Genomic DNA, 17,247 nt, shown 5'->3' with positions numbered 1-17,247 from the left:
AGGATTTTTAAAAAGGGGAAAGGGACGCTGGGTACACTATGTGTGTCTTCCGATTAGATACAGGAAGATTCACTATATCCATAAATAGTGAATTCATGAAAAGTCTATTAGAATATACATACCATAGATACTATAGTAGCAGTATTTTCTATCGTGTATTCTTATAACAAACTATGCTAAAATGTAAGAGTTCCTTGGGGATATTTCTCTAACAAACAGAGAAGAGTGAATATAATCAGCCTATGAGTGAGGGGGTAGGAGTATATACCTTGGAGTTCTAAAAAATGATTTAAAAAATATTAACACTTTAGACAATTTAAATACATTATCCTGTAAATAATAGTGTATAAAATAGTTTGAGGCAACAGGTATTATAATACTCTCATAGGAATTAGGAAATGTTTTCTAGAAACCAATAAATTATATCTTTATATTGATCAAAACTTACAGAATTCAGTGCAGATCATTCCCTAAGAAAGCAAAATGAAAAACTGTCACATATACACACACATTGAACAATGAGTCAAGAGACACCAAGTGAAATATGAGTAAATATGCTAAATAGAGTAAGTGATCAAGTAAGTCACCAAGTAAACAATTCAACCAGTTTCCTCACCCTGTGGATTGTGGATTGCAGAGTCTGAAGTAATCAAATGCTGGTGGTGGGAAATGGGGCAACAGAAAGACAAAGCAGCCCTGGGCAGGCCCTGGAGCATGCTTACCTCCAAAAGTGAAAGGCCAAGAGAGGACTACAAGGACTGCCTGGGCTGGATGGGGTTGGACTCAGGCTCCTGGGAGTGAGACTGAAAGTTAAAATAACGTCATTCCAAGTGGGAGAATTGATTGCAGTAAAAATAGCATAGCTCAGTTAAGGGACTGTGTTCCCTTTAGGCCAGAATCACTATGGCAAGCTTATCTACACCACTAGGTAATCATCTAATCACTTGCCCTTTTCAGCTCTAAAATACAGAACAAGTAAAATGCTTCCTGCTGAAATTTACATTTTAAAAACTACAGCTGCCATTTTTATTTGAGCCTTTTCTTTGTCACAAAGCAACTTGGCAGATAACTTTGACATGTGATTTTTGCATCAAAGAAAATCCAGTGCCATTTTATATTGAGTATATTTTATTCTAGATTAAGAAGACAATGCAAATAAAAATTTAGGTGAAATATCGTAGTTTTTACAAAGCAAAGCAACTAACATTTCCCCATAGGAAGATGCGTTTTTAAGCACTTTTGCAAGGAAAAACAAGTCTTCCTTATAACAAAGACCCAATATTTTATCTAATCCTCAGGGGCAATGATAAAAAGTGTTCCTATGCATATATTCAAAATAAATAATTTCAAAAATTATTACATGTAGTTATATATTATTTTATCTTCCAGAGAGGTCTTCTCAAATCCAACTGTCAATGAACCATTATAATCCCTGACCCCCCACTCCCCACCCACCCATCCAAACCACCATGATTATTCCAGCCAATTCTCAAATATTCATCACAGTGTGGTTGGAATAGAGTTCATTCATCTTTTTTCTTTCTGGCCTCATGTCTCTTTTTTTAGGGAGATAAAACTTAAATTAGATACAGTACAACAATTTAACCAATAGATCTAATAGATCTATTAAAGCATGGAGTTGATGCTAGTCAGTTACCAACTATTTTTACATGGCAAAATCAAAGTAAAAATTAGCTAAGTATTCTGTAGGTATTCTTGCCCCAACTCTAAGACTGAAGTGAGCAATAGAAACTCCTGCTATAGTGCAATGAGTTTCTTTCCTGTCTTTTGTTGTTGTTGTTGTTCTTTTTGAGACAAGGTTTCACTCTAGTCACCCAGGCTGGAGTGTAGTGGCTTACTGCAGCCTCCACCTCCTGGGCTCAAAGTGATCCTCCCACCTTGGCCTCCCAAGTAGCCAGGACTATAAGCACACACAACCATACCTGGCTAATTTTTGTATTTTTTGTAGAGATGGGGTTTCAAGATGTTGCTCAGCCTGATCTCAAACTCCTGGGCTCAAGTGATTCTCCTGCTTCAGCCTCTCGAAGTGCTGGGATTACAGGCGTAAGCCACCATGGCTGCCTTTTTACTTTTTTACAGATGGTGTCTCCATATGCCTCCCAGGCCGAACTTGAACTGCTGGGCTCAAGAGAGCTTTCCATCTCAGCATCCTGAGTAGCAAGAACTATGGGCATGCACCACCGTGCCTGGCTAGTGCAGAGAGTTTCTTAAAGAATGTTATTTTGCCTCTCCGCTGGACGATGGCTCTACACTGTATCATGTTTTCCTATCTCAGAGAATGAGGTCTTGAAACAGAGCTGCATTTTGGTTGATTCAAGCTGGTTGTGCTCTTCATTGGCACAGAGGGTTGGCAATGATGGCTAAAATCAGATTTGGGCTTACTATGGTTTGCAAATCCTAAATGCCATCCTTGTCTCCCATTATATGGATAATTGAGACTTGGCTGTATTTGTCTTAAACTAAAATATTAAATTATTGCTCAAATGCTCTAATTAAAAAATATAATGTTTCAACAGAGTAAAGTTTTATATCTTCTAAGACCATTCTCTGATTTGGTACCAGCACTTGTAATTAGTAAGGAATTATTTTCCTTATACACTCAGAGCATATTCAAAAGCTGCTGCTCTTAAACATGCTGTACTCTAACTTAGCAGCTCATTGGAAAGCTCTCAGGAATGTCCCCTGATATGTCCATCATTTTGTCTATGTACAGTCTTATCTATTCCTTCCTGTCCTAAAATCGGCATGCATAGGCACTAACACCATTCCCAGTCTCTATGCGGAAACACACATGATGAGTGCTACGAAGTGTCTATGTACCCAATTCTATACTTACAATGAAAAAAGAAAAAACAAAAAAATCTACCTTTCTCAGAAACTGGAAAGCCAGGCATAGGCTATTTAGGCATCATAAATTTCTGTATAAATTAACAACTTATTAATTTCTGAAATATATATTTGATGTCTCACACCTAAGATTTCAATATCTGAAACAGGAATCAGAAACTGCCCTGTGTTTACTGATAAATCCAATGGAAAATTCTAGATTGCATCTACAGAGCATAAAATAGGCTCATATAATACTCCACAGCTGCAGTGCTTATGGAATAAACTCTTCTGAAAGAAAAACAGTAATGTCTGATGAACATTCAAAAGCTGTTCTACACATTTGCTGTGTGAGTTAAGACTGTAAGATTCCCAGATAATTAAATTTATATACATTAAATCTGCTTTTAATAGAATCTGTGATAAGACTTTCCATTATAACATTCCTCTGCAGTGGCTAGAAGTTGAATTTACTCAAAGACTGCAGAATTAGCTTTCTCCATGAGTGAATGTAAAGTTAGCTATGTCCATTTTAGAGTAATTTTGCATTTCAAGGTAAACAAAATGTTCAAAGTAAATCACATACTAATACTACAATGATATTTAAGAGTGATTCTCTATTCCACTCTCACGCTCCCTAGGCAAACAGAATTACCTATTTTAAATGCACAGTAATATTTACCAAGATAAGAGGATAGAAGGAGGGGGCGTGGCCTGATACCAAAACAACATCCAAAGATCCCCTGTGTTTAGCTGACTGTTATGTCCTGTGTCGACGCTGGCAAGGTCATAAAACTCGTGGCATAATTCAGTCCTTCTAATCATAAAATGGAATGTTTGACACAGCTGAGTTCATATTTTTAAAAAGTTACTTTGAAGTGTCTCCTCTTAATGTAGACAAGATTGAGAAAAGAAAGAAAAAAAGTAAAGGAAGAAGAGGAAAGAAAGAAAAAGCCTAATGTGAAATGATATCTACTAAGTCCAAAGAAAACAACCAGGAAACAGCACAACAAAAAACAGAGGCAAAAGCAAAGCGGGAGGTTAATGCCCCTGGGTTTTAAACACAGAGCTATGGCTTAGTTATGCATTTCCAGCTAGAGAGAGGAGGGTTAAGTAGAAGAATGAGTGCATGCCACTAAAATATTCCACACAGATGGTGAGAGTTGAATGTTAGGGTGGGGGTGGAGATGGGAGAAATGTTAGGGCAATGGGTAAATACTATTCGTACCTCTAATATGAAGAATGTCACAGCTAGCAAGAAGGTTGTGAGAGCCCTCTAACTTTTTGTAAGTGAGTCCCTCATTAGTATAAAATCAGGGCACAATTTTAGAGCAAGGACTGATTAGAAAAGTATTCACTTCAGAATGTCATGCTTTTATTAATTAAGGAAATAATTTCTCTTGTATGATGCATCTACAAAATTCAAGAGGAATAATAAATCCTCAGAACCAAGCACAGTTCTCATTCTGCAGTCTCTTTCTGCAGACAGTCCAGTATGAGATTATTGGGACTGTACAGAATTCACTGAAATGTAATTTTATATCTGTGCTGTAAGTTAGAAAGAGGGATATTTATGTTTGTCTACCGGATTTATATTTTACTGTTTATTATTTTAAGTGTGACAGCACAGACTAACTCACAGCTTCTGCATCTTTGACTAACAGATTTAAAATAAAAATTTGCTGACACTTCCTGCATCACAGATGTCTAACTTCTGCGCCACAAATTAGATGTGGACATGTTCATGTAGCTACATCACATCACAAGGCAGTCAGATGAGTTAATGGGTTAAAAAAAAAAACAGCTAAGCAAACACACAGCTCAACTAGGTAAACACATTGCATGCAGTGGCTGGAGATTCTGCAGAGAGGATTCTAAATGTACCACAGTTCATTAATATTCTGTTGCACAGATAAAACATGGATCACATCTAATGAACGTCACAAATAACCCTTCTCTTGCACTCTAATCCATTGTAATGTCTTCTATTATTCAATGCAGACAGAGGCCTTTCTTTAGAAAAAGGCAACATAGGGATAAACAAACAGTAAGAGAGAAGGAGAAAAAGACAGATACACCATGGCCTACTGATACATTCTTTCACAATGAGCTGTTAAGATGTTTCCAGAACTGGGGTTTAGTAACTTTAAATATGCAGCAATGCTTTTCCTCTGACTGCAATGCAAAATGCTGGTCTGGGTGTCCACATTAGCTGAAACCAAATGCCATGCATTTAAGACATGTTCCTCCACCTCACACTGCAGTGCTCTGAGGCTGTCAGTACAAACAAATGCTAAATAGCTATTGGTCGCCAGAAAGCGAGTGCCATGCAGAAAGCATTAAAATATTAAAGACAGACAATACTTACTCCAAGGTCAGCCCCGGAATCTGTAGCCTTTCCCGCTGGGCTTTCATGGTTGTTATATGTTAGCACACTCTATTGTAACCATGACACACACTCCCTGCCAGCGTCCCGGTGATGACAGAGAGCCAAACCGAACCTCTCTAAAGGACTGGACTAACACTCTCTCGAGGGGGAGGGGGAGGCTGCAAGTTTGGGTCCTTCCACCTCTAGCCGTAATCAAGAGATGTCAGCTGCTTTCCTCAGGTTAACGGCAGTGCACACTGCACTGATTTTGTTAAAGGAACGAGGCTTGCAGCTCTGCATATCAAGTAATTGGTTTCTGATTTTTTTTTTTTTTTTTAAAGAAAGTCGCTCTACTCACAGACCCACTTTTCACCTCAGTGAAATGAAAAGTCCTTTTCACCCTGCAGACTGGGGCAAAAAAATAAAGCAACAGTGTCATACTTGTAAAAGAGTTTATCTCAGCACACGTCAACTATTCCCCACCTCCCTGTGATGCTCTCGAATAGAATTCAGCCACCCTGAGGAGGCTCATCTTACACTTCCCTTGGTGGAGTTAACTAAATCACTCATAGTCCCCAAGAAATAAATGAGGAATAGTGCCACATAAAAATAATTAGATCTTTCTCTATATATGGCAATCATCAGAACGAGGAATAAACTAACTGCATTAATTTGGGGGAAGTCAGACTCCGTTGTGCCGCAAAGACTTGTGTGAACAGGCAAACCCGATGATAGGAAACTACCAACTGGAAATGCAAGAGATAGGCACTTGGATTTTTATTTTCGAAAAGCTCATTTTTAAGATCGCAGTGCTGTATACTTTACAAAAGCAATCTAATATGAATAAGGAGGGAAAGAAAGAACATGAATTTTGAAAGCCTGAAAGTTTCATCTTGTATTTATTAAAAGAACCTAATTTTTCACAGCATTCATAACTTGGAACTAAGTGTACTTCCATTGTAGTGTATGAAGAACGTAACTGACTCACTTCCTCTAATGCATTTTAAAATGTTTTAAAACTTGGCAACCCCTGGTTTGTTGAAAAGAAACACTAGAACAAATTAGAGCTTTATTTTATCAAGAATTCTAATTTTCAAGTACTACAAGGCATCTCTTTCTCTTTCTCTCTCTTTCTCTCTCTCTCTTTCTCTTTCACACATACACACACACACAAAGAGAGAGAGAGAGACAGAGCCAAACTGCGGTAAAATAGCAAGTATATTCAAGCAGTTATATTTCAAAGGCTATGAAGTCAAACTCTGTCTTTTTACAGATGAAGAAACTGAGGGCACACAGTTGGCGGCTATAATAGGATTAGATCCTGGTCTGTAAATTTACTCTTATCCCAGAGGTCTGCCTAAGCAGGGATGCCACAGGTAGCTGTTCAGGTTGTGCCCTGGGCAAGGAGGGAAGTAGGAACCAACATCTGGTCTGCTTTCCATGGTTTTATGCCTGCACCTGGCTCTGGGCTGCTTCCACTCCATTTTTCTCATTTTCACGAAGTCTCCCTCAGCTCTGTGCCCTTCTGGAGGGCTACCTGTTTCTAACTCCACAAAGGTGCATATGGGCCAGTGGAGGTTTATAGGATACTCTCAGAACTCTTTTCTACATCCTTAACTATCAACTTGCTCTGGGGCATTTGTTAATGCCCATTGTTAACTAGGTACCAGCTTATCTCTCAGTGTGAGCTCACAGAACCAACCAATCCTCTTATCCTTTGGAGGTAACAAATCCATACTTGAAATATAGTCACTGACTCCACAGAGAGGCAGCTAGAGATGTAAAAAGTAATTGTAATTTAGTAGAAAAAAGCATCACAAAAGGAAATACTAAAAAGATATAATGGATCCCAGCTACTCAGAAGGTTGAGGCGGGAAGACGGTTTGAGTCCAGCAGTTTTGAGACCAGCCTGGGCAACACAGCAAGACTCCATCTCAAACAAACAAACAAGATATAATGGAACACAAAAAAGAGGCCTCAACTTTCCTTAGGAAAGTTGGTCGGGGAAAGTTCGAAAGCATGGGTGTCACAGCCAGATTATGATAAACAAAGAAAAGAAAAAAATCAGTTACCACCCTATAACAAAAAATAAAGCGAAATCCACAAATTCTTTAACTTTTAAAGTAGACCTTCATCTCAGGAAACACATTAGAATATTATTCAATAGCCTTCTACACACAGATCTTCTGAAGTAAACTTCAGTTCCATATAGCCAATGGACTACAATACATTTTCACTTCAGTTTCCTTTTACTACCCCTAATTTAACATACCCAAAAGAAAACTCACCATCCTGCCCTCCAAAACTCCAAAATAAGCCTCCTTTCAATGTAAAATATCCAGAATGCCACCATTCTTTCCACCTAATGTCAAAATACATTGACCCAAAATACATTGTATCTTGGCTAGATTATTCCTAAATGGTCTACTTCCTCCCTGGTACCCTCTACACCTTGGTGACCACATAAACTCCAGAGTGATCTCTTTCAGAATGTGTCACTCTTCTGTTCAAAATCCTCCAACAGCTTCCCTGTGAGTAAAAGCCACAAATTTAGGACATTTGGCCCCATATGGGATAATCAAGCATCAATAGGAACAACAATGGTAATGTATTACAACACATCAAATGTTTAAAGTCACGAGTTCAAGAAGAGAAAATTACGTCACCTTGAGGGGATGCTAGAGAACTGCTGCAGTAATCTTGAAAACTGATACAGGGGAAGAATCAAGCACATCCCCTGCATTCCCTATGAGTTACACCTCACAGATGGGGAAATCATTCACTTTATAGATGCATTCCAATTGGTGAATAAAGGGGGAACTGCGGTCGTAAAATATCAAAATTTTGTAGACTCTAAAGAACCCCAGGGAATCTAAGCCATGATCATCAGTGACTGCTGACATCACAAAGAGAGAAACCCTGGACGTTGTGAACTTCTCAAGACAACACACATGAAGTAGTCTTACCAAAAAGACTCCAGCACCCCTGGATACAACTAAGCCTCTACATCGAAATATCAAGTTACAGGTTAGAGACAAGGGAATGTGTTAAACAATATCACAGAGACGTGATCAGCAAAAGCTAGATACGAAAGTCAGAACAAATGACCTGGTTTCTTAAAATTTTAATGGGGGAGGGGGAAGATGGAAAGGGAACCCAAAGTTTAAAAGAAGGCCAGGCACAGTGGCTCATGCCTGTAATTCCAGCATGTTGGGAGGCTGAGGTGGGAGGATTACTTAAGGCCAGGAGCTCGAGACCAGCATGGACAACATAGCAAGACCCTGTCTTTACCAAAAAACAAACAAACAAACAAAAAAAAAAACCTTAAAAGACATATCAACTAATTGTAATATATGAACTTTTTAATGGGTCCTGATATCAAACTAATAAAACTATAAACAAACACACACATAATCAGGCATTTAGGAAATAATCAGCATGATATTGTGTATGTACACACTTCAGCCTGAAATATATATTGAGTATATGTATATACTTGTGTGCATATATATACACACATGGTTTGGATATCTGATAAAACTAGCCAATCATTTTAAAGTATAATATTGGACCATGATCACCTTTAATTCCCTTTCATAGACACATACAAAAATATTTACATATGAAGTAATACATATAGAGTTTGCTTCCAAATGATCTGGGGAGGGAGAGTAAGAGTATATAAAATTAAAGTGGCTTTGGTTACTATTTATTAAACTTGGGTAATAGGCAAATAAGGGGTTCATTATACTATTCTCTGTACTTCAGTGTATGTTTGAAATTTTGTCTTATAAAAAATTGAAGAAGAGTCTCACCAGGCCTCTAAAGCTCCATATGGTATGTTCATACCACACCTCCACATCCCCTCTTCTACAGCTCCCTCCCTGACACTCCTCACTACCCTTCACATATACCAAGCACACTCCTGCCTCTTGCCCTTTGCACTTACAGTTCCCACTGCCTAGAACTCTTCTCCCCTGACATGTCCAAACATCCTGCTCCTGAACTTCCTTTACATCTTGCTTGACCCTATTTGAAAACACAAGGCTCCCTCATCTAGTGTTTCTTTTTTTTTTTTTTTCTGAGACAAGGTTTCACTCTGTCGCCCAGGCTGGAGTCCAATGGCACTATTACGGCTCACTGCAACCTCTGCCTCCACCTCCTGGATTCAAACAATCCTCTCATCTCAGCCTCCTGAGCAACTGGGACCACAGACACATTCCACCATGCCCAGCTAATTTTTGTGTGTGTATTTTTTGTAGAGATGGGTTTCACTATGTTGCCCAGGCTGGTCTCAAACTCCTGGACTCAAGTGATCCACCCACCTCGGCCTCTCAAAGTGCTAGGATTACAGGCATAAGCCAGTATATCTGGCCTTTCTCCCTTTTTTTTTTGAGACAGAGTCTTGCTCTGTTGCCCAGGCTGGAGTGCAGTAGCGTGATCTCGGCTCACTGCAACCTCCATCTCCAGGGTTCAAGCGATTCTCCTATCTCAGTCTCCTGAGTAGCTGGAACTACAGGCACATGTCATCACACGCAGCTAATTTTTATATTTTCAGTAGAGATGGGGTCTCACCATGTTGGCCAGGGTTGTCTTGAACTCCTGGGCTCATGTGATCCTCCCGCCTCAGCCTCCCAAAGTGCTGGGATCACATGTGTGAGACACCACGCCCAGGCTTTCTTCTCATCTTGATGTATTTTTCACCTAACATATATTTATTTATTGTCTGTCTTCCCCTATCAGAGTGTAGGCTCCAAGAAGGCAAGTGTGTTGTGTGTTGTTTATAGCTGTTTAATCCCAGTGCCAAGAGCAGCCCACATAAATATTCAATAAATATGTGCTGAAAATGAATGAATGACCCTCCCTATATTGCAGAAACCACCAATTCAGGAGATTTTTCATTGTTTAAATAATTGTAGCTCACCACAGTGTTACATAACTAAACAGTGTCAGAGCAATGACCTCAAAGAGTGGTCTTAAGAAAATGGAGAATTGGGACATGTTCAGATACCACATGAAGACCCAGAAAAGACCTTTGCCGGCTGGAAGGCATACATCATGGACTAGCTGTATACATGTGTGTGCAGAAGAGGAACCTAAGGCTACACTAGAGTAGTGTGATATATTTTTATCAGTAGAGGTGGGTGGGTTGTGGGGGGACATTGGTTTAAACCACAGTACTTCGATATGACTGAGAAGACATATATATATGACAAGGTGGAAGTTAAGGAGTCTTCCCTACCACTGCTGCATTAATGGTGGAAATATGGGGTTTAAACAAACCCAGAGGAATGGTTTAAGGCTAGATCTCTTCTATGCATTCTCTAGAGTAGTGGTTCTCAACCAGGTTTTGCAATGTCTGAAGACATTTTTGGTTTTACCCTTTGCAGCAGGGAATAAGGGGGTTGCTGCTATTGGCATATAGTGAGTAGAGGCCAGGGATGCCGCTGAACATCCTATAGCACACAGATATTGCCCCACAACAAAGAATTATCCAGCCCCAAATCAAAAGTGCTATTCTAGAAATCTTGCTCTAGAGACAAGGGTCAATTTCTGCAGGACCCTCGGCATCACTGACTAGTTTTAACATGTCGATTCTGATTTCATTGCACTTAAATGGGGCAAGGGAGGAGCACTCGAACTGTTTTGCTTCTCATGCCACATTTCTTCTCGGGGAATATTACTTTAGTGTATGTATATACTTCTGTCCCGTTTTCAGGAGGAATGGCTTTTTATAGACAGAGCCTCAGACTGTCTCTAAGTTACAGAAACCTAATTATCAGGGTCTCCATGCCATACAGGAACAGCAACCTAGATATGGAATTCTTAAAAGCAATATGATCCAAACTACATACAAAATAAGCTTCACCACTGCTTATTTTGAGGGCACAGTTAAATAGGCTGACATAAGAGTAAAGCCAGTTGTATGTGTCTGAGGCACCTGGGCAGACAGGATTTAAACGTACGAGTTTTGATTTCTCAGATGAAATTCAAGGGACAGATCTCCCCAATGCAATATTTTCTCACCTCTTTCCTTTCTAGATCCAAGGTATCCATAAGGAACACACAAAATCTTAGGGCAATCGTGTTCCCTGAATGTTCAATTATTTATATATTCTTAAAAAGTGTGCATGGTTGAGGAAAACTTTCAAAGAAGGTGAATGTGTATGTGCTCTCTAACCACTCACATAAGCCAGCAAAGGTTAGATGAAGTTATTAACATTGTCATTGTCTCAACAGCTCATATCGTTCATTTAATACACTTTTATTCAGCAGCCCCTGTTCTAGGTGTGGTGATACAGCAGTGGATGAGACAGAAAGGTACATCTATAGAGTCTCCATTTATCAGGGAAAATAAATAAAGACACACATAAGGTCATTTCTGATAATGACAGGTACTCCCATCACAGGATGATGGGCAGTGGGTCAGGGAACAGACAGTATCTTTAGATCGGGCTGGGAAGATGAGATGATGGGCAAGCTTCATCTGCAGGATGAAAATTGCCAGGTCATGAGAGTCGGGGAAAGAGTGCTGCAGGCAAAGGGAGCAGCGATTGTAAAGTCTCTGACGGTGGAACAAGGCAGGCTCATTCAATGCACATCAGAAAGGCCGTGTGTGTGATGAAGTCATTGAACAAATCTTTAGTGAGAATTATACAATGCATGGCATTATCAGGGATGCAAAGATGAACCATATGCAAGTTTGGGTCTCAAGGATTGTATCATTTGGCGAAGCAGGGAGAGTAGAATAAAAGTTAATGGCGGGGGAGGGGATCAGATTTATGTTCTATATGATGAGGAGGTAAGAAACAGATATAATTTTGGTGGCATCTTTTAATAACTGGAGTTCATTTTTTCAAGCAGGTCTTTATAAGAAGCTGGCTAATGGCTTCTAAGGACTCTCTACCACTTCAAAGAGCAGGAAATATGAGGCTATCTGTATGTGTTCATTCACTGAAGAACATATCTTAAGTGTTCACTGTGGGCAAGGCATTAAAGAAGCAAAATTACTAAGACATGACTTTGGCCTACAGAGGCATTATGAGAAAAGATCAGGGTGGAAACATCTTCCTCTCTTCCTCATCTGTCTCTCTCTCATCCTTCTCTCCTGCTTCTCTTCCTTCCCCAGACAACATGGGTCCCTTTCTCCTCAGAGAGGGTTCATCATTGTCATCTAAGGTGTCAAGTTTGCCACCTGTACACCTCTTCTCAAGAAGCTCCTGCAGGATATGCTCCACATGAACAATGAAATAAACCATTTAAGAGAAATGCATGAGATCAAAGAAAGGGCGGAACATGGAGAGAGACGAAGGGAATTACCATGTTAATGAGGGTGAGGAAAATCACCAAAAACTGCCTCCATGCAGGAGACCTAGATAGCACACCGTCCAGCTTGGAACAGAAAAACTGGAGGGTCCAGGAAGAGGCTTTGAGAAAAAAACTTACAGGTTATCTGATATGTTTGATAACATAGAAAGTGCCAACAAGAGTTTTATAGTTCTATTGAAGAGTGTGGAAAGGATTCATGACAGCTACATAAAATCTAAAAAGGAGAAAAACACCCCAATTACTAACTCCAAAGAAAAGCACAAAGTTATAAAGGAGAGGAACATTATCATTGGTTCATCAGTGGGAAAAAATACACACACACACACACACACACACACACACACACACACACACACACACACACACATATCATGGGAGGCAAAATAATGGCCTCTCTAAAGATGTAGCAATCCCCAGAACCTGTGAATGTATTATTTTACATGACAAAAGGGGCTTTGCTGATGTGATTAAGAGTCTTGAAATGAAGAGATTATTCTGTATTGTCTGTGTGGACCCAGTGTAATCATGATTTCCCATAAGATAAAAGAGGGATTCAAGAGATACAGAGAAGAAGATGTGACAAAAGCAGAGGTTGGACTGATGTGGCCAGGAGGCAAGGAATAAGGTCAGTGTTGCTGGAAGCTGGACAACTAAACTTTCCAGTCATGGATAAGCAAGTCCCCTTTTCTTAGGATAACATGGGTTGGGTATTCCATCACTTGTGCTACAAAAATTACCAAGTGATACAACCTGAAAGCTTTATGAGTTGTTGTTCAAATAATGTCTTCGATTTAATGCTTTCCTTTCCATAAGAAAATAACAAAGCTACAGAACCTTAAGGCCTAATTTTTAAATGCCCTCTAATAGTAGCACTGCTTGTAATAACCCAAAACTGAAAATTACCCAAGTGCTTATCAATAGTAAAATGGCTAAGTACATTATGGCACATTCACATGACAAAACACTACACAGCAATGAGACTGAATGACCCACAACTGCATGCAGTAATGTGGATGAACCTTGCAAACATAATGTTAAGCATAATGTTGAGCAAAAGGAAGTATAACTGCGGAAATGTAAAATGGTGCAGCCGATGCAGAAAATGGTATGGCAGCTTCTCAGAAACTTAAACATAGAATTACCATATGATCTGGCAATTCCACTTCTGGGTATATACCCAAAGTAATGGAGGCAGGAACTCAGATATGTATATACCCATTTTCACAGCAGCATGATTCACAATAGCCAAAAGTGGAAGCAAGCCAGGCTTCGATTAACAGATGAATAGGTGAGCAAAATGTGGTATTACCCATACAATAGAATATTATTCAGCCTTAAAAAGAAGAGAAATTCTGACACATATTACAACATGGATGAACTATGAAGACATTACACTAAGTGAAATAAGCCAGACACAAAAGGACAAATATTGTTATGCTAGCTACTCTGGGTAGGTACTACTCTATTTTGGCTTGTCTATAGTAGTCAAATTCATAGAGACAAAGTGGAATGGCTATTGTCAGAGACTAGGGGAAGGGGAAATGGGAAGCTAGTGTTTAATGGAAAAAGTTTCAGTTGGGAAAGATGAAAAAGTTCTCGAGATGCATGGCAGTGATACTTACACAACTCTGTGAATGTACTTAATGGCGCAGAATTGAATGCTTAAAAATGGCTAAAACAAAAATTTTATGTTAGGTATATTCCCCACAACTAAGAAAAAAAAGAAAAAAAAAGAAAAAAAAAGTATACTAGTTTACTTACCCTATGACTCTACTTATATATACGACTTCAAGTTCTAATAGCAACCTATGCTATTAGAGTCAGGACAGTGGTTAAGGTGGTGGAATATGGGGTAGGGTGGGGTGAGGTAGTGGCAGGATTTTCAAAGGGGAGTTCTAAGGCAAGAATCATGTTCTGTTTCCTATGTGCTGGTTGCAGTTTGTGAAAATTCTCCAAGCTTGTGAATTTGGGGATTCCTCAAAGTCTCAAGCTGCAGCTCTCGTAAAGCAAAGAATCTATTTTAGAGGTTTTACAGCTTTCAGACACTTCTCAAATATACTCCCTCTTTTAAAAAGTTATTTATACTCAGCATCATGCCATCTAGGATTTGAGGCAATACATAAGAATACACACATACACAGACTACTCAGTAACTTTTTGTTAAACCAACAAATGAAGCAAAGTAGAAAATTAAAAGTAAATTAAATCAGAACCACGAAAAATAGGATTAAAAGACAAATCCATGGGAAAATATAGAACCCTAAGTATAACAGAAAACACAGAATCTTAAAGGGATAATTTTTACAGACTATCTGTGACCAAAATAATTAAATACTTGCCTGTATTAGTCTGTTCTCACTCTGCTAATAGACATACCTGAGACTGGGTAATTTATAAAGACAAGAGGTTTAAGTGACTCACAGTTCAGCATGGCTTGGGAGGCCTCAGGAAACTCACAATCATGGCGGAAGGGGAAGCAAACACATTCTATTTCACATTGCAGCAGGAAAAAGAAGTGCCGAGTGAAGGCGGAAGCCCCTTATATAATAAAACCATCAGATCTCACGAGAACTCACTCACTACCATGAGAACAGCATGAGGTAAACCACCATGATGCAATTATCTCCACCTGGTCCTGCCCTTGACATGTAGGGATCATTACAATTCAAGGCGAGATCTGGGTGGGGACACAGGACAAAACCATATCATTGCCCAACATCAACAGTTAATAAGTGATTGAGCTGGGACTTGAAATCAGTTCTGACTCCAACTACTGCATTCTTTCTACTGTAGTAAGCTGTGCTTTTCCAGATCATAGTATGGACAAGTTGTTTGACAAAACAATTCCAGTAGTATTTTTCCAGGTAATGTATTCATTAATTTAATATTTTTGTCTATTTGTTATTGTTTGCATTCATAGTTCTTTGACAAGTAACTCCAGCTTACCTTTTGGCATGTATATCTAATATATATATATCTGACTTTATGCAATGTTTTCAAAAGCGCTATTAAAAAATTGTTGGGGGGGTGTGAATTAAATGCCCCATGAAGGCAGGAGTCACACATCTTTATAGTCACTGTTTTATATTAAGTGCTTAACACCATGCTCGCACACAGAGTGGGCACTCAATAAATACTTGACAAAGCAAAGAGCTAATTAGCTAAAAAAGATTACTAAAAGTATAGTCACAAGGGGTGTTAAATTCAACTGGGAGACTATTTCCAGATGGCTTATTTACCCATTCTTGACTAGAGAAATTCAAATTACTCTGGGCCATCTTAAGAAGTCCAGCTTGCCATGTTTTACTCAGCTCCAGCCGCACCAGTGGACACAGATGGCATTTTAAAGCCCAGCGACATGGCTTGTGAGTACCAAGAGTAGTTATGTGGCTTGGAAAGTGCTGTGGAGGAATGGTGCAAGCTGCCCTGAAAAGGACAGGCTGAGGGACTTTGCTGTGCCCTACCTAAGCTTGGCGAGGAGGGGGACAACAAAAGGCTCTGGGTTTCAGGAGGTGGAAAAGAAGTATAAGAGCACATGTTTGGATAATTCGGTAACCAAACAAGCAGAGAGCTACTGAAGAGCAATCTCTGATGATACTACACAGAGACTTTATATATGAACGCTAGTAATGCCTTCCCCCTCTCTAGATAATCTAAAATCTGGAATCAGATTGCACACGTATCTTATCATCCTCACACTCCAACTTTGGTCCTTTGGAACTCGGTCTTTGGCTCCGTAACAGGTAATCCAATTCGGAATGTGGCACGGGTTCTCGTCTTGCCTTTCCTTTTCTAACTGCTCAGCCAACTTGGGAACTTAGTCCCTCAGCCTGTTTAAGTCTTTAAGCTGCCAGCCTCCTTCATCACCCACTCCTTCTTTATATGCAGGGTATGCAGGATGGAATGGAACCTGTGACACTTGGCTTGTGCATAAGAGAGACAGTCCACTTTATATGAGAATACTGTCATCCAGACACTCTATTTTCCTTTGTATTTTGCAGGGGAAAGAGATTAGATTTTTTAAAAAGTCTCCAGGCAATGTGAGATTATTAAATAAGTATTAATGTATCTTCACCAATTTCAGTGTCATGCTGCCTCCTCACATCATCAGCTACTGACTCTAAAGAGGGGAAATTCTTGAGACCCAACATTAAGAATTAAAATATACCCATGATCTCAAATCTAAATAAAAAATCAACTTACTTTTCCTGTGGGGTCCGGGATACACTACCCAACCAGGTTTTGCCAACATGTGCAAGCTTTAGGAAAAATCTGTCTCCTGCCACGGGGAAATGCTTTGCAGGTCGGAGGAGGATTATATAAGGCAAGGAAGAGACTCCTATGGATATTTCACTATAATAACAATTCTAGAAAGAGGCTGCACAGAGAAGCAGTGTTGAGTAGTAAAGTGAGTGGGAGGTTAGCTTCCAATATCTAGATGGCAAAGTAAAAAGCTTAAAATACTCAAAACCTCGAAGAATCAGAGAAGACTGTTAACCCATTACACTGTGATTTCCACAAAAGCTCAGACTTGAAACTTGATGTGCTTTATAAGAAAAAGCAGAAGAGAGAAATGTTCATACATTTTTCTTTGTAGGGAGATGGATAGGGCACAGGAAGAAAAGAAAACAAACCATATTCCTTTATTTCAGTGTTCCTTGACATGTCAGGATCAGGCAGCAACTCAGGTCTGGTCCAAACCC

At 39.4% G+C, this 17,247-nt stretch overlaps 1 protein-coding gene across 21 annotated transcripts in view; it reads right to left on the bottom strand.

Annotated features, from left to right (window-relative positions):
* MAST4 (microtubule associated serine/threonine kinase family member 4) overlaps positions 1 to 17,247 on the bottom strand; it is a 573,201-nt gene that overhangs the window by 205,084 nt on the left and 350,870 nt on the right. For 3 of the 21 annotated variants that reach the window (NM_001290226.2, XM_011543385.4, XM_047417163.1), the window contains exon 1: positions 5,216 to 5,437. The exons of 15 other annotated variants lie outside the window; for them this stretch is intronic. In NM_001290226.2, coding sequence (NP_001277155.1) covers positions 5,216 to 5,262 — 47 coding nt within the window. In that variant the 5' untranslated portion in view covers positions 5,263 to 5,437. Of the gene's footprint in view, positions 1 to 722; positions 804 to 5,215; positions 5,438 to 17,247 lie in introns of those variants that run through there. 3 more of the 21 variants (XM_017009449.2, XM_047417161.1, XM_024446044.2) reach the window with 2 other exon arrangements.

This window comes from Homo sapiens, chromosome 5, assembly GCF_000001405.40.
Source record: "Homo sapiens chromosome 5, GRCh38.p14 Primary Assembly".
NCBI lineage: Eukaryota > Metazoa > Chordata > Mammalia > Primates > Hominidae > Homo > Homo sapiens.
This window is presented reverse-complemented; position numbering and strand designations above follow the sequence as displayed.